The 27,769-nt window shown below is 40.2% G+C and overlaps 2 long non-coding RNA genes across 2 annotated transcripts in view; one reads left to right on the top strand and one right to left on the bottom strand.

The window, feature by feature from the left end:
- Positions 1-4,869, bottom strand: part of LOC107985177 (uncharacterized) — a 13,279-nt gene extending 8,410 nt beyond the window's left edge. Inside the window, exons 1-2 of the long non-coding RNA XR_001753505.2 lie at positions 3,702-4,869; positions 2,140-2,260 (exon numbers count right to left, since the gene is read on the bottom strand). This is a non-coding gene — a long non-coding RNA (uncharacterized LOC107985177). The remainder of the gene's footprint in view (positions 1-2,139; positions 2,261-3,701) is intronic.
- On the top strand, positions 4,819-27,769 carry LOC124900405 (uncharacterized). The gene is made up of 3 exons (XR_007066472.1): positions 4,819-5,384; positions 23,518-23,608; positions 27,116-27,769. It is a non-coding gene; the product is annotated as an uncharacterized LOC124900405 (long non-coding RNA).

Here is a 27,769-nt window from a genome sequence, read left to right as displayed (position 1 = left end):
AAAATGAAGAAAGAATTATTTCACTTAGTGCTTATGTTGGCTTTCTATTACTACTACAACAAATTACCACAAACCTACAGACTTGAAACAGCACAGAGTTATCATCTTGCTGTACCGTGGGTCAGAAATCAAACACGGGTCTCCCTGAGCTAAGATCCAGCTGTAGGCAGGGTGTGTTTCTTTGTTTGCTGGAGAGGAGAATCCATTCCTTCCTTTTCCAGCTTCTAGAGGTCACCCACCATCTTTGGTTGGCAGCCCCTTCCTCCATCTGCAATCCTGTCTTCTGATTTAAGTACCCTGTCAATCTCTTTAACTACCCTCTTCTACTTTTAAGAACTCTCATGATTACACTAGACCCAACTGGATAGCCTCCGTATTTTAAAGTCCACTGATTAGCAAGCTTAACTCCATGTGCTCCCTTAATTCCTCTTTGCCATGTAACTCACATATTCCCACATTCCAGGACTAGGATGTGGACATCTTTGGGGGCCATCATTCTGCATACCACACTGCTCTTAAGGTAAGCAAGAATAACATGAATAGTTGAAGGAAAGGCCGTCCCAGCAGGCAGGGATTACCACACTGGGCGGGCCAAACACTCTCCAGACATGCCATGGAAAGTGCAGAAGATTGTATGATCAGACCAATCTGGGAAACGTGAGATCATCACATCTTTTTCCTAGAGGTTTGTATGGTTCCTGTGTCTGCTCTAACAAAGTACCACAGACAGGCGGCTTGAAACAATAGAAATTTATTCTCTCACAGTTCTGCAGGCTAGAAGTCTGAGATCAGAGGTCAAGATGTCAACAGAGCCCAGCTCCATCTGAAGCTGATGTGGTTTGTTTGGCTGTCCCCACCCAAATCTCATACTGAAGTGTAATTCACATAATTCCTACCTGTGGTGGGAGGGACCCAATGAGAGGTAATTGAATCATGGGGGTGATTGCCTTCATGCTTTTCTGGTGATAGTGAGTGTGTTCTCATGAGATCTGATGGTTTTATAAGGGGCTTTCCCCCCTTCTCTCTGCACTTCTCCTTCCTGCCATCATGTAAAGAAGGACATGCTTGCTTCCCCGTCCACCATGATTGTAAGTTTCCTGAACTGTGAGTCAATTAAACCTCTTTCCCTTATAAATTTCCCAGTCTCAGGTATGTCTTTCATTAGTAGCATGAGAAGGAACTGATATAGAAACCTATAGAGGAATCCTTCCTCGTCTCTTTCAGCCTCTGGTGTTTGCCAGCTGTTCTTGGCCCTCCTTGGCTTATAGATGCATCACTCCCATCTCTGCCTCCATCATCACATGGGCATCCTCTCCCTGGTCTCTCCCTCTCTCTCTCTCTCTCCCCCGCCCCCTCTCTCTGTCTCTGTCCTACTCTTACAAGGACACCAGTCATATAGGATGAAGGGCCCACCGTAAATCCAGTATGACCTTAATTAATTACATCTGCAAAACCCTTATATCCAATTAAAATCATATCAACAGGTATGAGGACTTCAACCTACCTTTTTGGGGAGGTAGAATTCAACCCATAACAAGGCCCACACTAAGGATGCGCATTTTAAAGAGTCTGAGAAGTACTAGGGAAGAAATCCTATATAACTCCGTTTAACCTACAGCTTCCCAAATTTATGACTATAGAATCGTTTTGAATAGAATGCCTTTTAATATGCCAAACAACACATTGTGGGGAATGTAACTCTAAGGAATAATTAATATTGCAATTCTGCCACTAAACACATTCTTTGATTTTGAAATTCTTACATTTATCTGATTCCTTGTCTTTAAAAAATCACTCCACTTATTCTTTAGCAGTTTTCTGACATAGCATATTCCACAAGAACTCCAGAATTCCTCTTCTGTTATATTATGACTTTTATATGACTTTCTTTTTTCATGTATCTTACTGAAGAATGGCTTACATACAGTGAAATGCACGAATATTAAGCATGCAGTTCAATGAGTTTTACAAATGCATACACTTGTAAAACCCACACTTCTATCAAGACACAGGAAGATCTTTTATGCCCCTTCCCACTAAATCCTCCCACCAGAAGTACTCCCAGTTCTGACTTAAGTTACCATAGATTAATTTTACCTGTTCCAGAACTTCAGATAAAAGAAATCATATTGTACGTACTCTTTCATGTCTGGCTTCTTTTATTCAGCACGATGTTTTTCAGATCCATCCATCCATCTATGCATCCATCCATGAGGTGTATCAGGAGTTTATATTTTTTTTATTGATGAGTAGTATTCCACTGGATGGATAAACAAAATTGGATTATCTTTTCTCCTGTTTTTAGATAGCTGGTTTGATTCCATTTTCTGTTATTATGCATAAAGCTGCTGTGAACATTTTGATATAAGGCCTTTTGTGGACATACGTTTTTATTGCTCTTGGATAAATACCTACAAGTGGAATTGCTGGGCCATAAGGTATAAAACATAAGTATGGTTAACTTGTTAAGAAACTGCAGCAGTTTCATCAAGTGAATGCACAATTTCACACTCCCACCAGTCAGGTATGAGAGTTCCAGTTGCTCCATATTCCCACCAACATTTGACACTGTTGGTCTTTTTCACTTTAGCCTATATGAGGATTTCTTCGCCTTTTAATAAATCCTTCTATGCCTAAGATAGAACCACAAGTAAAATCCTAAAGCAGGATCTTGTTTATGTTTTCATTTTAAAGCACAGATAGTTTAAGCTTAAGGAAGAGCCTATCCTTTTTCAATTTAGATCTAGGAAGACTGTGAGGTTCAATCTATTCTAGGAAGATTGTGAAATTCAAATATATTTATGTATTTAAAATACTATATTGCTAGCCACCAATGACTCAAAACGAATAATTTTTTAAACAACAATAATCAAATTAATGAAGTTTATATTTTGTTCTTTCGTAAATTTGAACTGGAATGCAACACGTGGATAGAAAAATATGAAGCTATATTTTATACCTATGTCAAACTATTTAATTATAAATACTGAGCTAGAAAGCACTAAAGACTAATTATGTCCCCAATATACCTACATTCACAATGGTTATAACAGAGCAAATAGAGTATAATGTAACTTATAATATTATCATAAGTTGAGACCTTAAGGGGACTGAAATATGCTCACATTTATGGAAACTAAATTATGAAATGACTCTAGAATCCACATGTTAGCAGTGGTTTAAGGCAGCCTGTCAGTGATTAGTATACACCAATGCATATATCAATCATGCTGCACTAGTAGCTTTGGTGTGATGGTTTTATTTTTATGCAGAAATTTCATTTCCTAGAAGTTGTAAGCTCTCCTACGAGAGTCCTCCTATGGAGTACGTGGGCGTTCTGAGGCTCTGCAGCCCCTCAGGCTCTGCCCTGGCAACAGTGCCTAGCACCATGCTCGCCTAGACGTGCTCTTGGCAAAAAGCCCTTCTGCCCAGGAGACTCAGAGGGCAGCCTCAGGCCTGACCACAGCAGCCCTGAGAGTCCCTCTTCAACTTCCCAGGAGATGCTTTCAGGGGCAGGAAAGGGGTCAGGAGCCAGGCAGCTTCAAAGCTTCAGCCCTGACCCAGGCCCCAAAGTCGTCAGGGCACCAGCAGCTCCCCTCTGTAAACCTCTCTGTGGAAATTTTTAACCTAAAATAATTTTCTCTCTTTCTCTCTTTACAACTGAAGAAAAGTACTCCTTAGAGCACGCTTTAACTACCTACCTTCAATGTTTCATAGTCAGGGAAGGCGATACAAATCAACGTGTTTAAGTAGTTCCTTTACTAGCGTTGATAGAATCCTAAAATCGCCCTAAAGAAGTGTCTTTGGTGAGGAGTGAAATCGTATCTGGAAAGCCGATTGCATGGCGAGGCTGTCTGGCGATGCTGCAGTACTGGAAACAGGAAGGCTTGTCCTAAAGTCAACAGGGGTCAGAACCGCATATAAACCGAAGCCAGCTCTGCAAGTCCGTTTCCAGAGTCACATTTTCGGTCTGGGGGTGGGTTGGGGGCGGAGGGAACACGCTTGATTCATCGCCTCAAATAGTCACGTTTAGGAACATTTCAGGGCTGTGTTACTTCTGAATAATTTGTCTGATCGCTTTGATCCAGGCTGTGGGGGTGGGGCGTGGGCAGAGGGGAGGCAGCAAAACCCTACAGGCGGGCCTTTCATTTCAGGAGCCGGGAGTTCTCTTTAAAACACGTGTGAAAATCCACTGGAAAAAACCGCAGGTCTTCCTCTTCAAAGTCACGCAGAGCAGAAGTGACCCCGACCCCAAAAACCCGGGTCCTGTACAACTTGAACTTTCTTAGTCGCCGATGTTTTCTTCCCCCTCAAGGGATTAGACAGAAGTTGCACTTAAAAGCACTTTTAGAGTCAGCCTGCCATTAGCCTCTCCCTATGAAATTTCTAGCGTGGTCATTACCGCTCACTTAGCAACGCTCTGGCGGGGCAGAAAGTTGTCTTTTGCTCCCACAAAAGCAAACACTTTTCCTGGTCAGGCGATGCATTATAGAGTCAGTTCTCCTGCGCTTGGGCCGATCAATAACCAAGTCGGGGCCCCCGGACGCAGCCCAGAGCCCAGCCCCGCGCTCGCGGGTTCCCGGGTGCCCGGCCCGGCCCATCCATCACGCGGCCCCCGCTGCGCGCAACCCGGGCGGGACGAGCCCCCGCGATCCGTCTTCGCCGTGAACTCTGCGTCCCCTCCTGACCTCGCGCTCAACCCGGACACACTGGGAGGTGCGAAGCGGCCTCCCGGGGCTCGGCCCGCTCCCCGCCGCACATCAAACGCTGGCGCTGACCCCGGCGCCTACCGGTCCCTGCACGTGCAGCGCGGCCGCGCGCTCCCGGGTCCGCAGCCCCCACCGCCGACAGGGCCCCGCAGGGCGCAGCGGGGCTGGGAAGGGGAAGTCGGCCAGGCCTGCGCGGCTTCCCAGGCTGTCCCGGCGCAGAGGCGGCCCCGGGCCTCCTTGGAAAGGAACCGTCCCCGTGTATCCCGGCGGGGTGAGCACAAGGCGGGTGCTGTCCGACTTTCAACAGTCGCAGCGAGAATGTCCTAGGAAACTAAACAACTTTTTAAACTGTCTTTCCAAAGAATCAGGATGCTGAGAAGTCAACCAGCTCCTGGAGGACTGACCGGAAGGGCACCTGGCCTCGGCCCGGGCGGCTCCCCATTCGTTCCTCACTGCGCCCCTCATCCCCACTCCCCCGGCCCTGCAGGGTGCCCCGTGGTGCTGACCATGGCATTGCCTGGACCCATCAACTGGTAAAACACACGAGCCTTAGCAGAGATACGATTTCATTCCTCACCAGAGGCCCTTGAGATTTTAGGATTCTATCAACGCTAGTAAAGGAACTACTTGAACACGTTGCTTTGTACTGCTTTCCCTGACTGTAAAACATTAAAGGTAGGTAGTTAAGCTCGCTCTAAGAAGTACTTTTCTTCAGTTGTAAAGAGAGAAAGAGAGAAAATTATTTTAGGTTAAAATTCCCCATGGAGAGGTTTACAGAGGGGAGCTGCTGGTGCCCTGACGGCTCTGAGGCCTGGGTCAGGGCTGAAGCACCCACCGAGGCTGCCTGGTTCCTGACCCCTGCCCTGGCCCTGAAAGCGTCTCGGGGAAGTTGAAGACGGACTCTGGAAATGGAGACAAAGCAAAGGGAGATTTCTTGGTAGCTCCAAAAACGGGAAACATGAGCCAGCAGAGGCTTTGTCAGGGTGCATAGTGGGCAGCCGGGAGTTAGCAATAAGGGCACAGAACGTGGCAGCCTCCCCCTGTTCCTGGGCAGGCGAGGGTTCCGGGTCCTTCTTCCTCTCCTCGCCCTGAGGTCAGGGAGACAGCTGCAAATGCCATTTTTCCAGAGGCTGAAAGGGAGCTGAAAAGTGTGAGGCCACTGAATCATGAGCGATGAAGTTTTGACTTGGCAGAGAAACAAGCACGGGCCTTCCTTCGCAGCTTCGTTGCATTATCATGCTTGATTCCATTTCAAATGTGCCTTACCCGCGGCAGAATATTTATTGTGTTTTCAAATTCCAAGGTCCTTGGGAGTTTCTCCAAAAGTTTGAATGCTTTTCAAGTAACTCTACTTATAAATGATGATTTGATTGGGTATTTTTCAAAACAAGAGCAATGTAAACATCGAAATACATGCAACATTTGATTCTTATATGGTAAAAATGCGCACCACTCTGCAAAAGGAAAGATTTTAATGTTTATTAAAAGTTTAGATATGAAAATAAGTTGGGGGTTGATGTCTGGAGATTTAGAATTGCTTACACATCACTTTTTCTGCTTCTCTGCTTCTACCATTTTCTCCATTTTAAAAACATGCTTTCTTGAGTTCCTATATTCCCCGAGGAAACTGTGTTTTGATTTCATTCATTCATTCAACAAACTTCTTTTGAGCAAGTGTTAGGTGCTAAAGAGTAGCAATATGAAGATGTAAAAGTTAATAAGCACCAGAAATTAATGAACAGCAAAACAGAAGTTCCTCGGAATAACTAATAAAATAGACAATAAACTAATCTGAGAGAAAGAATATAACTATACTTTACCAACAACAAAATGGGAAAATAGGATAATAAACAGGTAACCATAAAAATTTTAGACTCATGACAAATAACATGCATAGCATCATGCCAATCATTTGAACATACAAACCAAATGAAATAAAATATTTTTAGGAAACATCTTACCAAACTTATCTCCAAAAAGCCGGAGACAGTAAAAAACCTATTATATCAATCATTTTAGAGGAAATTTAAAAGCGTATCAAATATCTATCACAAAAAGCCTTCAGGCCCAGATTATTTATCAACTTAAAAAAATACATAGTTTCTTCTGTCATTTAAACTCTTATAGCATGAAAAATATGGAAAACCTTCCAAATAAATGTATGAAGCAAACATAGTACTAAAAACAAAGCCGGATAAATATAGGAAAAACTGAAAAGTATAGTTTTACCTCACTTATTAACATAGGTTAAAGAAGTTCTAACTATTAACATATTGAATCTGACAAAGTAAAAAAAGGAAAATACTCTGAAAAAGTGAGTTTTTTCCACACTAAATAAATTATATCTAGGATGTCTGTTAACATGATTATATTGGGCGTTAAAAAGAGAAAAGTCACACAAGAATTTCATCAGATGCAAAAAAAGAAGAGCACTAAATATAATTTAATAACGTTTCCTGTTTTTAATAATATATAGTAAATTAGGCTCGTAAGAAATGTCCTAAACAGTCCGGGGAATATCTTCCAAAACTCACAGCAAATATTTTATGCTAAATGATGAAATACTAAAGATACTCCAGTGAAGTCAGGAATAAGATAGAATGACCAAATTAATCTGTTTGTTTTTTTCCAGTATCACTCTGGAATTCCAAATCAATGAAATAAGATAACAATATATGCAGTATACAATTATTGGAAAGGAATATATGAAATTATCATTAGTTGGAGATTATTTTTACTATATAAAAAAATCAAGTTAAGATGGTTTAGTAAAGTGATTAAATACAACTTAAAATAATATATCAGTAGGTGTCTGCTTTATGCCAGGACAACAAATTAGAAAATAAAATGGAAGTGAAAATCCTACTTAAAAAATCAAGCAGGGGCAATCCAGTTGGGAAAGATTTTCAGCAAATGATGCTCAAACAATTGGATATCTACATGGAAAATGGTGGACCTTGGTAGACCCTTGCCTCACACCACACACTAAAATTAATTCAAAATGTAAGAGCTAAGGCTGTAAAACTCCTTAAAGAAACGTAAGAATAAATCTTTGTGACCTTATTTAAGCAAAGATTTATTAGATAAACAACAAAAGCACAAGTGATAAAGGAAAAAGTTGATAAATTGAACTTAGTCAAAATTAAAATCTTTTCACTTCCAAATGTATACCATTAACAGAGCAAAAAGACAAGCCACAGACTGGGAGAAAATATTTGCAAATCATATACTCTAAAAAAGATTTGTATCCAGAGTATCTAAGAGCATATAAAAATCTCATAACTTAATACTAAGAAGATAAATAGCCCAATTAAAATTAGGTAAAAAGGCCAGGCACAGAGGCTCATGCCTTCTAATCCTAGACTTTAAGAGGTCGAGGCAGAAGGGTTGCTTGATCCCAGGAGTCCTAGATGAGGCCAGGCAACAGAGTGAGATTTTGTCTCTACAAAAAATTTTAAAAATTAGCCAAGCATGCTACTGCCTGCTTGTAGTCTCAGCTAGTCTGGAGGCTGGGGTGGGAGGATCTCTTGAGCCCAGGAGATCAAGCCTGCAGTGAGCTGTGATTGCACCACTGCACTCCAGCCTGGGCCATAAAGTGAGATCCTGTCAAAAAAAAAAAAAAAAAAAAAAAAACAAAGCCAGAAGATTCAAATAGAAATTTACCCCCAAAGAGATAACAAAGTGGCCAATAAACACATGAAGAGATGCTCAGTATTATTAATCATTAGGTCAATATAAATTAAAACTATAGTGAGGTACCACTTCATGCCTTCTGAGATCACAATGATTGAAAAGTCAGATAATACCATGTTTGGGTGAGAATATGGAGAAATCAGTACTTTTGCATATTGCTGGTGGGAATGTAACATGGTTCAGCCACTTTGAAAAACAGTTTAGCATTTTCTGAAAAAGTTAAATATAGATTTATCTTATGATTCAGCAATTCTACTCCTAGGTATCCACTCAAGGAAAATAAAAAGATACGTTCACACAAATACTTACTTGTACACCAATGTTCATAGCAGCGTTATTCATATCCAAAACGAGGAAGCAATCCAAATATCTATCAATTGATGAATACATAAACAAAATATTGTATATCCATACGATAATGACTATTTGGCAATAAAAAGAAACAAAGTATTGACACATACTATTAAATAGATGAACCTCAAAAGTGTATTAAGTGAAAGAACCCAGTCACAACAGACCACATATGGTATGACTGCATTTATATGAAAAGTCTAGAAAGGGCAAATCTGTAGAGACAGAAAGTATTAATAAATAAGTGGTTGTGTGAGGCTATGATAGAAATGAAGATTAACTGTAAAAGGGCATTAAAATGCATGGGGGTGAAGAAAATGTTCTAAAACTGGATCATAGTTATGGTTGCATAATATGGTAAATGTACTAAAAATTATTGAATTGTATACTTAAACAAGCTAACTTTATGTTATGTAAATTATGCACCAATAAAGCTGTTATATAAAATGGCAACAAGACTCTACTTTCAGCCGTGATTGCATAGTTTGTGGAAGATCAGTGGTCTCACTGCACACAAATAGGAAATGTGGATTAATTTTTAAAAAATGCTTGTTGGACTTGCCAGGACTCGAGGGGCCATGACCTTGGGGAGAAGAGAAACTCAGTGAAAGAAGTGAAGGCTGCATTTGCCAATTCTTGATGCCAAGCAAGAGGCTGAGAATCCAAGCAGAAGGCTGCAGCTGAGATTTGTATAATTCAGCTGAGAATTTGGTTGTCACTTCACAATGCTGGAGAGAAAAACTTGACTTTGGAACGTCTAACACAAGTGGATCTCAAAAGGTCAAGATATTGAAATAATAAAAGCTCAGAAAAAGGCTCAAAATGCAGAGGATTCCCACTCAAGGCATTTGCTGAACTCTATTTTTATATATTAACTTTTAATTTTGAAATAATTTAGACTCACAAAAAGTTTCAAAAATAGTGCAGATAGTTCACATATACCCTTCACTTAGCTTCCCCCAGCAGCATCTCTGGCTTCTATTTCCTAGATGTTAGTAGCACCCTCCCCAGTCATGAAGATCAGAATGTCTGCACTCATTGCCAAATGTCCCCTGGAAGGCAAAATCACTCTTGGTTGAACACCATTGCCCTAACATTAACAACTTGTATGAACATAGTGCACTTATTAAAACCAGGACATTAGCATTGGTATAATATAATTAACTAAAATGCTGACCTTATACAAATTTCCCCTCATGTCCATTTTCTGCTCCTGGACCCACCCAGGAATTCACACTGCACTGAGTTGTGACTCCCTAAACAGCGCCACTCTGTGATGGTTCCTCAGTCTTTCCTCATCTTTCATGACCTTGAGTTATTTGATGAGACCCAGTCAGTTAATTTGTTGAATCTCTCCTTATTTTATTCATCTAAAGTTTGCTTATGATTAGATTGGGGTTATACATTTTTGGCAAGAATTCAACAGAAGTGGTGTGCTCTTTCCAGTGTGCTGTATCAGGAGATATATAATGTCAATTTCTCTCTCTCTCTCTCTTTTTTTTTCCTTTTGAGATGGGGTCTCACTGTGTCACTTAGGCTGGAGTGCAGTGGTGCAGTCTCTGCTCACTGCAACCTCTGCCTCCCATGCTCAAGCCATCCTACAACCTCAGCCTCCCAAGTACCTGGGAATACAGATGTGCACCACCATGTCTGACTAATTTTTGTATTTTTTGTTGATATGGGGTTTCACCATGTTGCCCAGGCTGACCTCAAACTCCCAAGCTCAAGCAGTCCCTCCACTACCGCCTCCCAAAGTGCTGGGATTACAGGCTTGAGCCACCATACCCAGCCCTAGTGTCAATATCTCTTATTACTGGTAGTGTTGATTTGATCACTTGGTTAAAGTGTTGTCTACCATATTTCTCCACTGCAAAATTATAATTTATCTCTTGGTAGTTGATAAATATCTTGGGAAAGAATCTTTGAGTATATGCAAATATTCTGTTTCTCTTCCAACTTTTGCCCAAGTGTTCAGTATCCATCAATGGTTATTCCCTGCATTAATTATTACTTTGAGGTTTGCCTAAGGGTACTTTTTATTTCCCTAATTTCTTCTACCTATATTAATTTTAATTCTTCTATAAGGAAGAGTTGTCACTTCTCTCCAACTTATTAATTTGTTCATTTTTATTCAGCATAGACTCATTAATATTTATTTTATTTTGTGGATTGTAATTTAATATGTCATTTTTTATTATTTTGTTGCTCAGATTATTCCAGTGTTAGCCATTGAGAGCTTTGTCAGATGAGTTCTGTGCCCCTTTTGTTTCCACCATTTTTCAAGCTCTTCCTTATTTTCTTGTTCTGTAAGGTGTTCCAGGCTCACATGATGTCTCTGCTTCACTTCTGAAATCAATCACTTTTCCAAGAAGCCATGGTACTTTTTATTGGAAATGGTGTTTAGAAAGCAAGATCTAGACTCTGTGTGCTCAGTGCTATTGAGTTGTAATTTCTTCTCCTCTTAGCAGACAGAGCTATGAAATATATGTATACATATTATATATGTACACATATATGTAGATGTAATATATATATATCTACATTTTATCTACCTGTATAAATATTTAAAATCATAAGTTCATAATCAAAAACCACACATTTTATTTTAGTCTTCCCCATTTCTTTATTGTATCTATTTCCCCTCACTGTGATAAGCCTGGTTCTCACCATCTACAATATATATACTTATTTGTTCAAACCTAATATGCACATAAAGTAGTTACAGAATTTCTAACCTATACCCTGTGGGGGAAAAAAAGATTTACTAACAATGGTATTTTTGTAAAGTTTTTTATCTTTAGCTTTATATAATAAAGGAAAAATAGTAATTTCCAAAGTTATTAATGTTAGTTATTTTCTTCACCATTAATTTCAGTGTTGTTTACTTACTCATTTACAGTACAGTTGGGTTCATATGTTACTATTTGTATTCTATTTTGAGTTCCCCCTATATTCCGATTAATTTTATATGTTCACTTACTCATTTATTTGGGGAATATGTAAAACATTACTATGGTTCTAAGAGTCAAAACTATGCAAAAATATACATCTAGAGACAAGCAACTTTCTCTCCATTTCTAATCATTTGCTGAATTCTTAAACTTCATAAGGCAAAGATCTAAGAAGCTAAGCAGAAAAATGCTGAATGGAAAAGGGGGATGTGGAGCAGTTTCATGATTCTGAGAAGATAGCAATTGAAATTCAGAGCCTGCCAGGAAGTAACATCCCTAGTAAAAATCCCAAGATTTCCATTCCTATCTCTGGAGGTATTTCTGCCACCAGTTGATTCAGTTCCTGATTAGATTAAGATAAACTTCCCCAACTCTCTACCCGCCAAAAAGGACAGAGTGAATGCTCTCTGAAGGAAAATGACATTATCCACAGCCTTGATAATTTTTTTTACGTAATGTCTAACATTCAATCAAAATTTAGTAGACATACTAGAAACAGAACCAAGAAAAAATAGACAATAAAAATAGACCCTTAAAATAATTTGTAAATGAAAGCAGATTTATTGTTAAATTAATGACACAAGTTTCTGGGTGCCTCACTTGCACAAATCTTTCTAAGACTTGGAAGGAGCCCTACACATGTGCACTGAAGGTCACATTTGCAAAACTTGCAACAATAACCAAAAACAGATTTGTTCCAAGTACAGTCAGTTAAGACTGTTTTTTCTTTCGATTTTTATTTTATCTCTGTCTTAGTCCATCTTAGTTCCTATAACAAAAATGCCATTAAATACACACACACACACACACACACACACACACACACACATTTATTTCTCAGTTCTGGAGGCTGCAAAGTCCAAGATCAAGGCTCTAGCAGATTTGGTGTCTACTGAGGGCTTGCTTCCTCACAGGTAGCTATCTTCTTACCTCAAATGGTGAAAGGGTGGAAATATCTCTCTGGGATATCTTTTATAAGGGTACCTGTAAGGTTAATTTTAGGTGTCAACTTGACTAGATTAAAGAATACCTGGATCACTGGTAAAGCATTATTTCCAGGTATGTCTACGAAGGCAAATTCTGTCTATCTCTTTTGGAGCTAAGATACCCTTCTTCTTCCACCCTTAAACATCAGAACTCCAGGTTTTCTGGTCTTTGGACTCTGGAAATTACACCAGCAGCCCCCAGGTTCTCAGGACTTTAGTTGCAGACTGAGAGTTACACCGTCTGCTCCCCCAGTTTTCAGGCTTCAGTACTTGGACTGAGCCAGACCATAGGCTTCCCTGACTCTCGAGTGTGTAGACAGCCTATCATGGGACTTCTCAAGCTCCATAATCACATGAGACAATTGCCCTAATAAACCTGCTCTCATCTTTCTACATAGATATAGATCCTATATATATCCTATTGGCTCTGTTTCTCTGGAGAATCCTAACATAGGCACTAATCCCATTCATGAGGGCCCCACCTTCATGATCTAAGCACGTCCCAAAGGCTCCACCTCCTAAAACACCACCTTGGCTGTTAGGATTTCAACACATGAATTATTGGGTTGGGGAATGGTGAATAAACATTAAGTATATTGAACTCTGACACATTCTCCTCATATCAGATGGCAAGCTTATCAGGTGATTGAGTGGTCATAGGCATTTTGGAAATCTGACCACAGGGAATTTGAATTGAGGGTCCATTTAGTTTAGGATTAATGGAATATATTTATGTAGTTCACAGTCACTTCCAAGTGTAAGTTACTACTAACTCTCTCAATGTCCAATGGCTTTTAGGGATACATTACTTGCCTCTGTTGATGCAGGCCCAGCACCCATAATTATGACCTGGATATGAGAGCAAGGTCCATGAACCATGAAGTTCGTGAAGCGTAAGTTTTGAGGCCATCATTTTCATTTTCATGAGTCCCTTTCTAGGTCTTTTACTTAATTTTGTATCCATAAATGTATTTCCTTTGCCTTAAAATGAGACTCAAAATTATAATCCTCAAGTCTCACAAATCTTATAAAGTTGTAATTTTTGTGATTTCTATTCTTTCTAAATAAAGATTCACATTTGGTGCCTAAACTTTCATAATTTTGTGAATTTTTTCTTAAAGTTGGCTTTAAAATTGTTAGTAAGCTGAAAGATAAATTTGAAGAACTGTTAAAAACATCTTATTAGATACACTTTCCAATATTAACATTTACAAAAGGAAACATCTTAAAATCAGATTCTACAGTTTTCAGTTCTTTTGTGAGCAATCTTATTCTCTTTTCTGCTTTATTCAGCTTTTGGAATGATGGGTTAGAAAAAGCTGGAAATAAATTTTATAATGTAGGTATAATTTCTTTCTAAACCATAGATCACCATATAACTTTAAGATATTGCTGTACTTTAAAACGTGTTCCTTATCATATTAAATTTCATTATAGCAATAATGCATAGGTGTGGTTGCAGTACCTAATAATACAAGAGGGTATAAAATGCTGATTTGTCCATTTTAGAGTTTATCAAGTTACTCCTGTAATGAAAGATGAGGAATTCAATGTATTCACCTAGCTTCCACCTGTCCTCTCTCCCCTCCACTTTCAATTTTTGGGGGAATATTATTGGAGTAATTTTTAAAGACAAAGTAAACTTTTTGAGTCTTTTATAATTGGAAAGTGTTTTTTACTCTCATTCTTAATTACTGCTTTTACTTGTATGATATTTTAAGTTCAAATTTTCTTTCCTCACAATTTTGAAGATATTGTCCTCAGCACTTAGTATCCAGTCATGCTAATTAGGAAATTATACCTCAATTTGAGTGTTTTTTTTTCCAAAATAACCCGAAAAACTTGTTCCAATTCATTATATTTTATTCTTTGCCATTGGAGGCCTTGTCAAAGCAAGCCAACTTAAATGATTAGCCTTAATAACTAAATGGCATAAAACATAAATAATCTGGCTTTTTTTTTGCTCTAGTTAACAGAATACTTTTACTCAAAAGACATGCTCAATTTTTTTTTTTAATCAAGTCTGTTCCTCTATCAAAACACAGTCAAAATCTTGTTATCAGATACAATGAGGGCATTAGAGAAAGTTGGGTAAAGAGGAAAACTATTACAATACTACGTAACCTAAACATCTTTAAAGCTTAGAAGTTTAATCAAAACTTATGAATATATACTCATACTCTTTAACCAATGAAGACGAACGCTTCCTTTTTGAGGCTGGATCTGTCAATGATTTCCTTTTTTTTTTTTTTTTTTTGCATAAACCACATCCCTAGTTCATCGACTGTGTTTTCTTCTATATATTCTTTTAAAGCAGAAAGAGGAGGAAAGGAATTGGGAAGCAATTTAAGTGCAGAATCCTAGATTTTTCAGGCTTTTGCCCCAAACGTTACTGCTTTCTTGTTCATAATTAAGTCATCAGCAATTTATCAACTTAACTTTATTAAGTCTTTTCAAAGAATTCAACTTACTTTTCATAAAAACAATAAATTTATTTGATTCATATGGTATTTTATTATATAACCTAATTATAGTAAAAAGGATAACTGGCATAAACTGGTTTAAATATACTTGGACAATTTATAACCTCATCTCCAAAAACAATCTGCTGACGGGTTTTTGAAATAGAAACTTGTTTTTCTTTTTCTTTTTGTTTTTTTTGTTTGTTTGTGTGTTTTGTTTTGTTTGTTTAGACAGGGTCTTACTCTGTCATGCAAGCTACAGTGCAGTCATGGCTCACTGCAGCCTCGACCTGCCTGGGCTCAAGTGATCCTCCCACGTCAGCCTCCAGAGTGGCTGGGATTACAAGCATGTGCCACCACACCTGGATAATTTTTGTAGATGGGCTTTCACCATGTTGCCCAGGCTTTTCTCAAACTCCTGGGCTCAAGAGATCCACTCACCTTGGTCTCCCAAAGTGCTGGGATTACAGTTGTGAGCCACCACACCCAGCCAGAAACTTATTTGTAATCTTTTAAAATCACTTCTCAGGCTTTATATAAAGTAGCCAGACATTGAAATATTTAAGTGTACCAATTCATAAGTAGTTAACAATGGATTCATTTCATACTGCTCTCACTCCTGCCCAAGCAGGTACCATACTACTGATGAAAATATCCAACTCTGTATAATGTGTCAGTAATTAAACTGCTACACTTGAACACTTCCCATAAATATATTTAACATCAATTTCTGATCACTGTCAACAAATTCAAGCTTTCTGAAGGTTTCACATACAATGACAGGAACATTCGTATATACAGTTATATTGTTTATGAAATAATTATTTTCTCCTCTACATATTTGATTGTAGCTATTTATGATTGATTTTTATTAAACTTATTATTAGAATAAGCTTCTAGGGACTCGTCATAATACAGCCTTGTATTCCCTAGCAGTAGACGTGTTTATTCATTTACTGTATAATGTCATTCATTTATTAACTCATAATCCATGAATGGACCATATATTTTCTATGTATCTGGCACTGTTCTTTGGGTTATTGTTACAGTAATTCAAATACCATAGGAATTCTCCATTCCTTCTCTCTGTCCTTGTGTACTTCAGCATCTTCCTATTGAGAGGAAACTCATTTGCAAAAGGCAACTGGCATTATATCGGGTTCATGTGGGAGAAGGAAGCTGCTGGTTACCTCTTAATATGAGGAAAGTCCAGAGGTGAAATAGGAAAGGGCTGGGGTACTGCACTAGGGTGGGGAGGCTGCTTGGAGGACAAAAGAAGAAAGACATGAGGAAATCTGAGGTCAGAACATCCAGACAGAGACAGGAAGCACAAAGACCACAGCTGCAACAGGCTTGACAAGTTTCAGCAGAAAAAATCCCAGGCTAGACATGCAGCCTCGACCTCCCTGGGCTCAAGCGATCCTCCCACCTCAGCCTCCAGAGTGTCTGGGACTACAAGTGCCTGCCACCATGCCTGGCTAACTTTTATATATTTTGTAAAGACAAGGTTTCATTATGTTGCCCAGGCTGGTCTCAAACTCCTGGGCTCTAGCAATCTGCCCACTTTAGCCTCCCAAAGAACTGGGAGCAAAGGCAGAGGGGCATGAGGTGAGCTGAAGAAACAGACACTACAGGAACATGGAGGGCTTTACAGACCGAGATTCCACACAGGAAAGCAGTGGGGAAATGCTTTAAGAAATAAGCATGCAGACTTTGTAGTTTAACATTTCAATAAGACCACAAAAATTGTGGGTGACATTCATAAAAAACAAAAAGAAACCCAGATATCTTCCTTTCATAAATGTTTATTTACTATTTGTACAATTATGAGATTTTTTAGAAAATTAAATTTTTATCAAGAAAGAATACTCATAGACTTCTAGCCCTTTGTCTTTCCTTCCACCTCTATTTTTTTATGGCATTTGGGAAGATTTGTTATTTTTCATAATACACAGCTTAGGTTTGAAATATTTTTCTTTAATTTCCATATTCCAAAAATTCACAGTGCTATTTATGTGGGCACGTCACTACTAATACGACTCCATGTCACATAAATAGTCGTGTAACTTTTTATGTTGTCTCCTGGTTATATGGAGGAGGTTTCAGAAACCCTATATTACAGGCTTGCTCTAGGCTGCTCCTGTTCTGGGGCTGGTACCGTAATATATGGATTGAATCCTGCTACTCTGATGCTCTTGTCAGCCTGAAAGCTTGCCTTCCAGTTTGTATCAAACCATGGTATACAATAAATCAGCACATGTGTCTGAACAGCTATATATTCTTTCGGTGGCTTTAAATATTTTTATAATCACGGGTGCGATATAGGACTCAGGGGACCTTTAAAGCCAGCATTTCAAAACAGCTGAATGGAGATTCAGAAAACCTGTATGCTGTTGGACTAAATTGCAGGAAAACTTCTCGGAACCTTTGATGCATGTGGGGTTTAGTTTTCCTGGGAACCACGTTTAATTCTACAATTATTGATTTCCACAGTAAGAGCTATTCCTGCAGTTCACTGAATGGTAGGATATGGAATGTAGGATGACCTTCCTTCTTCCTACACCTTTGAAATCGAGAGCAAATGCATAATTCACATTAGATGGCAAATCAGCCCTTGACCTCAAACAGACAATATAACAGCTCAGCCAGCCCAAGCAGGCATAGGACAATTCTCCTTAATAAATCCAGCAAACTTCGCCATGCTGGACGTAGATTCCTTGAAACTGGACACTGGAGAAAAAGCTCCACCTTGAAACCAGTTACCTTGATTCCCATGAAAGGGACAGTGCCTGTTCGATTATTATTAATATCTCATTAAAGTAAATTAACTTTGGGAAAGTAGGAGCTAGTTCAAAACAGAACCCGCATGACCAGAACTCTGCTGGTCTCTGGGTCTTGAAGTGGCCAGATGATGACTTGAAGTTGGCACTGGAAAATGTGGGAGACCAGTCATGGGAGTGAAGTGGCGGAAAAATCCTGGTGGTTGGTTATTCCAAATTCACAGGGAAGATCTTAATAGGTCATTTGTTACTGAACAATATTAAATTAGGACTCCTGAGACATTTTAAATGTGTATCCTCAAGAACTCGTCCTTGCCGGCCTCCTGGGCCCATCCCCACCCACTGCGTGCACCAAGACACATGCCACACATTGCTTGCCCTGCTGCTGGGTCCAACATGAAGCTCCCCCAACTGGCTCCTGTGGAATATGTCTGAAAACATGCACGGATGTGTTCCTTGGCACTCTGGGAAAGCAGAACATTTCAATGACTCAGTTTTCTCCACGGGAAATTATTCTGTTGGAGTGTGTAAAATAATAACTGAGTAGCAAAGTTGCATATAACAAAATGTAATTGCACTGATATTTAAATCCAGGAGGTGTATTGCTAGTCCTTTATGATTTATGAAGCTTTTCCTATGTGGTTTTCAAGGAAAATCATTTTTCCATTTTTGGTATAATATGGTTCTACTTCCAACAACTTCCCTGTGGGTTTATTTTTGATCACTTTTTCATAGGGTGAGGCTTGTTTGTGCAGAGGCCATCGTGGCAGTGGGAGAGCTGGTGACCAAATTGCAAAAGCAGATAACTCACTGCAAGGAAATGTAGGAACATTCCACACAAATGTGGTTTTACAGACACAATTCTTAATTCTGGAGGCTTCTGCAACTCCTCAGGACCTTTCAACAGCGTGTAAGTCAGCTACAATGCTCCTCGTTTTCAGAATGCTGTTACCAAAGGTCCACATAAGGCTGAAAGTAGCATCACATGCCTCACAGTAGCTCTGCCAGATGCGCTATGCACTGGTGCAGCCTCCCCTCCGGCTGAGAGTGAGCCACGCGCGTCCCATTTGATCCCAGTGGAGGGAGAAAACCTTCCTTCCTTCTCAGTTCCATCCTCCTATCCTAGCATTGCGATACTTTGCCCAGGAAGCCAAATAAATGCATAATTCTAACTAGCTATAATTGCATTTCCCAGCTCACCTATCAGAATGGTGTTTCCATCGTTGCTGACTTTTGTTAACAGCTGCAGCAGTCTCCTGCCGCCTCCTCCCCACACCAGCACTCACAGACGAAGGTCTCTGGGGATTGACAGAAAATGACCTGCCGCTTTGGGTATTTCATGGCTCTGTGTGTGTACGTTTTGTTTTTCCTATCAGTGATTAAAACTACAAATTTAGTTAATGTACAGCACAGACTTTGTGAATAAATCTACACACACACACACACACACACACACACACACACACACACACACACAGCTCTGTAATTGCTTTTAAATGCTGGAACCAAGGCTGTCATCTACTCTCCAGACACTGAACTCCCCGCTGCAACCCTCCATCCCTCCCTCACCACACCTCCCACCCTGGTCCCACACCAACCTTTTGTTCTGATGGCAAATCAAAAATCCCAGAGCTTTTCCCAGCCAGACGTGGTATAAAGTAGACCAATTTTCTGTGTGGCCAGCCTCTTTAGTTGCATTTTTGGCAGATTAAAAACAAAAGATATGACCAATATTACTCATAAAATACTGTGTTTGCTTGATGTTGCCCCTTAGGTTCGCTGCAGAGACACAACTGTCCAACCATTTATCACTCAGAAACGTTTTACTGATCTTCTGGAAATATGTCATCATTTAGGAGTATTATATATCTTTCTAAAATCACTCAAGATTTATGGTGGCGACTTGAATTCCTTTAGAGTTATCTGCTTCACACTTTTGAACACCAAAGGAAGAGAAAAGATTGTATTTTAAGGAATTTAGACCAATGGTTATGAAGAAGCCAGAGACCAGAACACATCCTGAGATTAGACACAAACAAATGAGAAAAGTTGATTGCTGAAAGCGATAGGAGCCTTCTAGGATTCAGCAGGACCCCACCCTGCCAGCCTCCCACCCTATATCGAATCATTTCCTTGCGTGTAATGAGCCATGGCAGTCCAGTTTTTACCTAATCAGTTCTATCACTCATTGGCTCATCCTACCTTGAGATCCCCTAAAGGTTCTGGGGAATGGTGATTTCAAACTAAATCGCTTACCAAGGCTGATATTTGAATCACTAAAAAGGCACAGAATTGTGGAGGGGCGTGCCTCTTGGGTGGATAAATCTTCAGGATAAATAGAAGGAATATGTAGAAAGGTTTCACAACAGACAAATCTGCAATAACCTATCTGAAAGAGTGAGTAAGCTCCTTAAAAACCACCCTGGCATGAGACCTGTGTCAATGTTCGCAGTGCCACCATTCCCATTACTCCTCCAGCAGAACACTTTCCTGGAAGTCCTGAAGAGCATTCATCAAAACAAATGGGCTGCTTTCTTTGGGTGGGGGGGATGCTGCCGCCCTTGGAGTCCAAGACACACACATTTTCCCCTGCGACATGAAGCGGTATAAAGAATGGTTGTCACCATTCGTGACCAACAACCCACAAGGTTCAAAGTGTTCGCACAGGATAAGAATGTTGACAGCATCCTTAGAACAGACCCAAGCTAACTGGCCTTGGAATTGAATGCAGTTAGCCTCATCAGCAAGAACCAAGGAAACTCACCAGCCTCTGAATTGATCAAGGTCTTTGCTCAAGGAGAGATTCCTAAAATGCAAAGCAAAAAAAAACAGTGATTTTTTTTTCCGGGATGGGTAGCTGGGTTCTCATTTGAGCCCAGGTTTATGATGGAAGAACATGAATAAAGTTCCATCCCTCTTGAGAGCAGTTGATGCCCATATAAGGGCAGTTTTCTTCTGGAGAAAGTCCCAGGGGACCATCCATTACCCCCAGGACAGCCACTTCTGTTTAGCATGTACGCAAGGCTGCTCAGGGGATAATAGGACACTTGGGGATGCATGCCATCAATAAAACAAGGATGTTCAACCCTGAATTTCACTTTCCCTTCTTGCCCAGTTACTTATTTTCCCAGTTCCCTGGTGAGACTAATGCTAGCCTAGTTCAACAGGGGCAGAATGAAGGCGACGCTGAAGGTGAAGGCAATGTTCGGTGCATTTGTCCCAGCAATTCAGCACAGATATCTGCTTAGATGAAAAAACACGGTTAGTGTCTGTGCCTCCAGAGTGTCAGGGAACATTTTTAACTTAACCTGTTCAGTACTTCACATTGCATCTTTCATCTGTGTATATTTGCTTCACTGTGAAGGTTAAGGGAGACAGATGAACATCTGCAGGCAGACATTCACATGCCAAAATTGTGAGCCAACATCCAGACTCCCAAGAAAAGAATGTGGGAAAACTGGCAGACTCTAGAATTATTCTCAATGTGGGTGAGCCCTTAGCAGGACCCTGAACTGGGTTGCTCAATGACTAAGGGGATCACCTCTGGCAGCTGGTGTTTGCCTGGGCGACCCCCAGAGAGGCTCTATTTGGGAACTGCAGACGATTAGGGGATTTCCCTGTTGACAACTCAAATGCCCTCCCATCTCTCTCTAATGCTTTCACCTGCTCGGGGGGCACCTCTATCTAGAAATACAAGAGTGGTGCCCAGGGATCAGCTTAATATTTTTGACTCCAGTGTTTTTTGACTCCAGTCCTTGTGATAGGAGCAGTCTTGAAAAGTCAACTCCAGGTGCCTGCAATTAGGATGGAGTCTGTCTCAGCCAGAGGCAGTGATTCAAGTTTGCTCCCTTTTCCCAGTGGCTCTCCCCACTTCTTGGCCTAGATGTCCCCATGAACACTGCTGGTAAGTGGGCAGCATGACCACCCAATGGTGGTCATGCTCAGACCTCAATCTCTGAGTCTTCTCCTTTCTAGTGAGACCTGCCCACTCAACCATCTCCTACAGTCTCATATCTTTAAATAGTGTTTATATGCTGATGTCTCCCAAACGTGTATCTTCAGCCTGATTCCCTACTCTAAACTCCAGACTTAAAAATCAAACTATGACCTTGACATCTCATGGGGATATTTAATAGGCTCTCAAGCTTCACATTTCCCCAGCTGAGCTCCTGGTATCCTCCCTCACAGCCTTCCCTATCGCAGCAAATGGCAACTTCATTCTTGCAGTTACTCAGGCCAAGCACCTTACTATCCTCCTTGGCTCCTCTCTTTCACTCCCAATGTGCATTGAGTCAATCCACAGATCTTGTTTACCCTTCCTTAAAAATACACACAGAGCCCAACCACTTCTCACCACTTGCATCTCTCCTACCCTGGTCCAAGCCACCAACATTGTGGTCCAGATCCTGGCAGTGGCTTTGTGACATTCTCCCTGCTTCCTCCCACAAATCTCCCTCGTTTACTCTCCTGTGTCAGATCATGCCATTCCTCTGCTGCAGAACCTCCGCTGGCTTCCCATCTCATCCAAAGAAAATATTGAGTACCTCTATGATCCCCAAGGTCTCACTGCTCCACTCACATCTCCACCCCTCCCCACACTCACCTCCTGGCTGGTTTTGACCAAGTCAGGCAGCCTCCTACTCAGGAACCTCTGCTCTTGCTGTTTCTTACCTGGCCTTCCATGTGGCTCCTTTCTCTTCGCCTTCATACTTTAACTTCAAGGTCACACTCCCTGACCACTCTCAAATGTACCCACTTCCTTACCAGTGTTTTTTATGCTCCTTTCCTGTCTTGTTTTTCTCCTGAGTACCTATCACTCTCTAACCTAGTCAACGTTTAATTTTTGTGGGTACATACTAGGTGTATATATTTATGGAGCACATGAGATGTTCTGATACTGGCATGCAATGCATTTATCCTTTGTGTTACAGACAATCCAATTATAGTTTTTAAATTATTTTTAAGTGTACTATTACATTATTGTTGACTATAGTCACCCTGTTGTGCTATTGAATAGCATGTCTTACTCATTCTTTCTAATTTTTTTTGTGCCCATTAACCATCCCCACCTCTCCCCTTCCCCTCCCCCATTACCCTTTCCAGCCTCTGGTAACCATCCTTCTAGTCTCTATCTCCTTGAATTCAATTGTTCTGATTTTTAGCTCCCACAAATAAGTGAGAACATGTGATGCATGTCTTTCTGTGCCTGGCTGATTTCACTTAACATAATGACATCCAGTTCTATCCAAGCTGTTGCAAATGACTGAATCTCATTCTTTGTCATGGCTGAATAGTACTCCATTGTGTATATGTACCCCTTTTTTTTTATTTATTCATCTGTTGATGGACACTTAGGTTACTTCCAAATCTTGGCTTTTGTGAATAGTGCTGCAATAAACATGGGAGTGCAGATATCTCTTCAATATACTGATTTCCTTTCTTTTGGGTGGATCCCTAGCAGCGGGATCGCTGGATCATATGGTAGCTCTATTTTTAGTTTTTCAAAGAATCTCCAAACTGTTCCCCATGGTGGACCACCTAACCTATTCTTTATTTTTTTATTGTTTCGCTCTCTCATTAAATAGAAATTCCATAAGGATGAAGATATTTTTCCGTTGTCTGCTGAATCCCTGAAGCCTAGCATGTGTAAGAAGACACAGAATGCATATTCACTGTGTGAGTACATTTTATCTTGTGGCATCGATGATCCAGGGCCAGAGGAGCATCCAGAAAAGGACAGCAGAGCCTCAGGTGCTCACCGGTGTCAAGGAAGGTCTGCGAATAGCTTTGATGCAAACTGTTAATTTTCATTACTGGTGCCTTTTGTGCCAACTACTAGAGGTACTTGTTACTTATTAGCAGAATGACTTTACACGCTTCAAATAAATTAATGCCCCTTAATACCTGATGCAGTTGGTAGAAGTGAGATAGTCACATGCCAATTGAGTATAGAAGGGGAGAAATGGAGGAAGATGAAGTGCAAAGAGAAAGAATTTAGCATTCATAGTATGGAGACCTATATCTCACTTTTTAAAAATTTAGTATGTAAATATTTTTATTTTGAATGGTTCAGAGCAAACTGTGATTTTCAAGTACTTCAAAATTCATTCATTCACAATTTTTTAAGGTAATTCTAGTTAATTTCCTAAATTAAGTAGATGGGAGGGGACTAAGAGAGGATCCACAAGACAAAAGAATAAAAAATATTTTTTCAAATAATGTGAGAACAATTTTGAAAGACAAGGTGATTCCTAAGCCGAAGTCAGATAAATTGTCAAGAAAGGACTTCATTGTGTCAAAATAGCGGGTGAGAAGAAGACAAACTTGGAAGTCATTGGTTTTAGGAATGAAGGAGCTCAAAACTATCAATTATTGATTTATGCCTATTTATAACATTTGAATTTTAATATGAATGCAAATTTATAGAAAATTTGCAACAACACAAGAAACATTTTTATAGAAAATTTGCAGCAACACAAGAAACATTCAATGTTTTTTTTATTTATTTATTTTAGACGGAGTCTTTCTCCGTCACCCAGGCTGGAGTGCAGTGGCACAATCTCAGCTCACTGCAAACTCCACCTCCCACGTTCAAGTGATTCTCCTGCCTCAGCCTCCTGAGTAGCTGGGACTACAGGCACATACCACCACACCCAGCTAATTTTTGTATTTTTAGTAGAGACGGGGTTTCACCATATTGGCCGGCTGGTCTTGAACTCCTGACCTCGTGATCCATCTGCGCTGGCCTCCCAAAGTGCTGGGATTATAGGCGTGAACCACCCCGGGCCCATTCATTGTTATTTACCCAGATTCACCAGTTTATATTTTGCTATACATTTGCTTTATCAGTTGAAAGAAAGAGACAGGGAGAGAGAGACAGAGACAGAGACAGAAAGGGAAAGAAATGGAAATGAAAGTAATTTGGCAACCTTGGGTTCCTTTACCCCTAAATACCTGAGTGTGCATTCAATAAGAACAAGGGCTTTCTCTTATATGGCCCAGTTACAATTATCCAAAGCAGAACATTTTCACATAGAAACAATACGATTATCTAATCCACAGCCTAGATGCAAATTGTGTCAACTGCCCCAATGGTGTCCTTAAAACTGCCCCCTCCAGCCCAGCAACGGGCCAGATCCCACATGCATCTGCTTATCATGTCTACTTCGTCTCTTTGCATCTGGAACTGTTGCTCAGCCTCTGTCTTTCTTCATCTTAACATTGTGAAAAGTACAGGCCACTTACTCTGTAGATGTCTCCTCACTGGGGGTTGCTGAGGTTTCCCTGTGACTAGATTCCGGTTCTGCACTATGGCAGGAATTACGCAGAAATGCATCTTTCTCATTGCAGCAAATGAGAAGCCCAGGATGTCACTGTCCCAATATTAGTGATGTTAGCTTCGATCACTTATTTAAAATGAAATTCACCAGGTTTCTGAACTGTGAGGTTCTACTTTTCCATTTGTAATTAACAAGTAATTTACAGGGACATAACCTGAGACCTATTCCTCGTTTAACTTTCACCCACTGCTTTTAGGATCTATTGCTGACTTTCTCATTCCATCACTGCTTTGATCCATCCAGAAATCATTTGTATTTCAACACTGCACTTTTCCATTTTAGAATTTCCTTCTATTTTTATAACTTCTATTTCTCTGCTGAGATTCCTAGTCTGTCCACTTATAATAACCACATTTTCCCTTAAGTCCTTGAACATACTTATAAATGTTGTTTTAAAAGTCCTTGACTGCTAAATCCAACATCTAGATCAAATCAATGTCCATTTCTCTTGGCTGTGGGTAAAATCTTCTGGTTCCTGTGCATGGGTAATCATTTCTTATTAGACTACACACTGTGGATGCATAGTCTAGAGACTTTGGATTCTGCTATGTTCTTCTAATGCACATTAGTTTTTGCTCTAGCAGCCACTTAACTTTACGGCAAAACTCCAAACTGTCCTCCTTGCAGTCGGCAGGAGGGGACACTGCTGAGTCTTTAGCCTTGCAGCTGTTGCTTTTCGCAGGGAAATGTGGGGGCTTCCCCATGCACATGCAGTCCAGTGGTTACCCAGGGGCAGGAAAAAGCGCATGCACAGATTTTGTTGCTATCCTTTGTGTACCCCTGATTTCTGGAATTCCCCCTCCACTTTCTAGCTGCCATGAGCTTCAGACTATGCCTGGTGACTTCTCAAGCAGATAAGGGTACAAAGTTCTTCTTGGGTTCTGCCCCTGCTGTGCAGGGGCAGAACCCAAGAAGTTTTGGGAGTACCTTAAGGCAAGCAAAAAAAAAAGGAGAAGAAATGCAAATGGTACCCAGTGAATCCCCATCTTTTGAGGGTTGCCTCCCCGGTTGCTGCCTGCCTTTCACCATTCTCCAATGCTTTTGAACAGTTGTTTTTTACATCTTGTCCAGACTTTGTAATTGTTATCTGCGGGAAGGTTATTCTGGGGCAAGCTTCTCCACTATTATCAGAAGCAGAGCCTCTCTAATCATCTTTTTAAATCTAGAAATTCTCATGGTTTCTTAGGGCTTCAGGCTTCCTGTCAGTATTTTACATGACACTGTAAACTTTCCATCCACATTATTATTCTTTCTATGATATAGAATCCAGCCTTTATTCTTGAATTTCTTCTTACCACTTACCTGAGTGAAGCATCTCTGCATAAATTCTAAAAGCATATTTCTAGTGGTTCAAGCTGAAGTCATCTTCTTTAGCAAATGGGAAATCTAACAGGTATTGCAAATCACATAATTGGGGCTATGCAAACTTGGGTGTTAGAAAAAATGAACATCTCAGAAGGAAATCTCTCTCATCATATAACATATGCATATTCATATATATGTATAGATAATTTAGGAAAGCTGAGTTTATATAGCTGCAAGTCTATATGCCTAAGGAGAGTGTTAACTGAACTTTGTGCCAAAACTTTAAATATACCCGAGATACTTTTCCAAGTGTCTCCACTCTATTCTGTCAAAGCCACACAAATTTTTAAATAACAGTCCAAATATGCACTGTCCTCTTTTTATGTTTTCCTCAAAGCGCGGTTCACTGCCCCACACCTTCCTGGAGGCAGATGAGCGCATGTATTTAAAGTGCACCCCGGCCTGTGTGTGCATTTCTTGCTTAGTGCTTCCATTTTGTCACAAGTAACATGATTCCCGTGTCCTCCTCCTTCCCCAGATCATTTAGTCCTGGGCTGCTGAGAGAAAATGCAATCTCTATGACAAAGCCAGCTCCACCTTCTATCGGTCCCCTACTGTTGGGTGAATAGTCCTCCAAATGCTGGCAGGAAGGGGATTGACTGCTAAGGAAGGAAATCTCAGGCACTTCTCATATCTGAAAGGAAGGCACAGGAAGAGCCGCAGGATGGAACTCAGACTGGATGAAACTGGGAAGATTTTGCTAGACAGAAATTAGAAACGCTCCTACAAAGAAACTGAAGTTCCATGAACATGCTGTTGCCACCCTGCAATTTAGTGTCATACTCTACTTGTAACTCTCACCTAACAATGTGTCATCTTTACTTTTTATGTTATTTATTTACAAGTGCATTTTCAGTATCAACCCCTTCATTCATTAATCCTAATGTGGCCTTTTCCAATGTCTACTTACCATTTTAAATACTTACCATAATTTACAGGGCTTTCTTGAACATATCCAAGGTATATTATATGAGTCTAGCTTAATGGAAAGTCTTGTATACCAAAGCAGGAAAAAAAACACATTTAATTTATGATGGCTTTGAATTTTGATCATAATTTACTCCTGGAGACCTATTCACACAAAGCAATACCAATACAATTTTTCAGAAGCAATAAAAAATAAAACAATAAA

The sequence above is a fragment of the Homo sapiens genome, chromosome 18 (genome assembly GCF_000001405.40).
Source record: "Homo sapiens chromosome 18, GRCh38.p14 Primary Assembly".
Lineage (NCBI taxonomy): Eukaryota > Metazoa > Chordata > Mammalia > Primates > Hominidae > Homo > Homo sapiens.
Note: the sequence above shows the minus strand (reverse complement) of the source record. Positions and strands in the feature narration are given on the sequence as shown.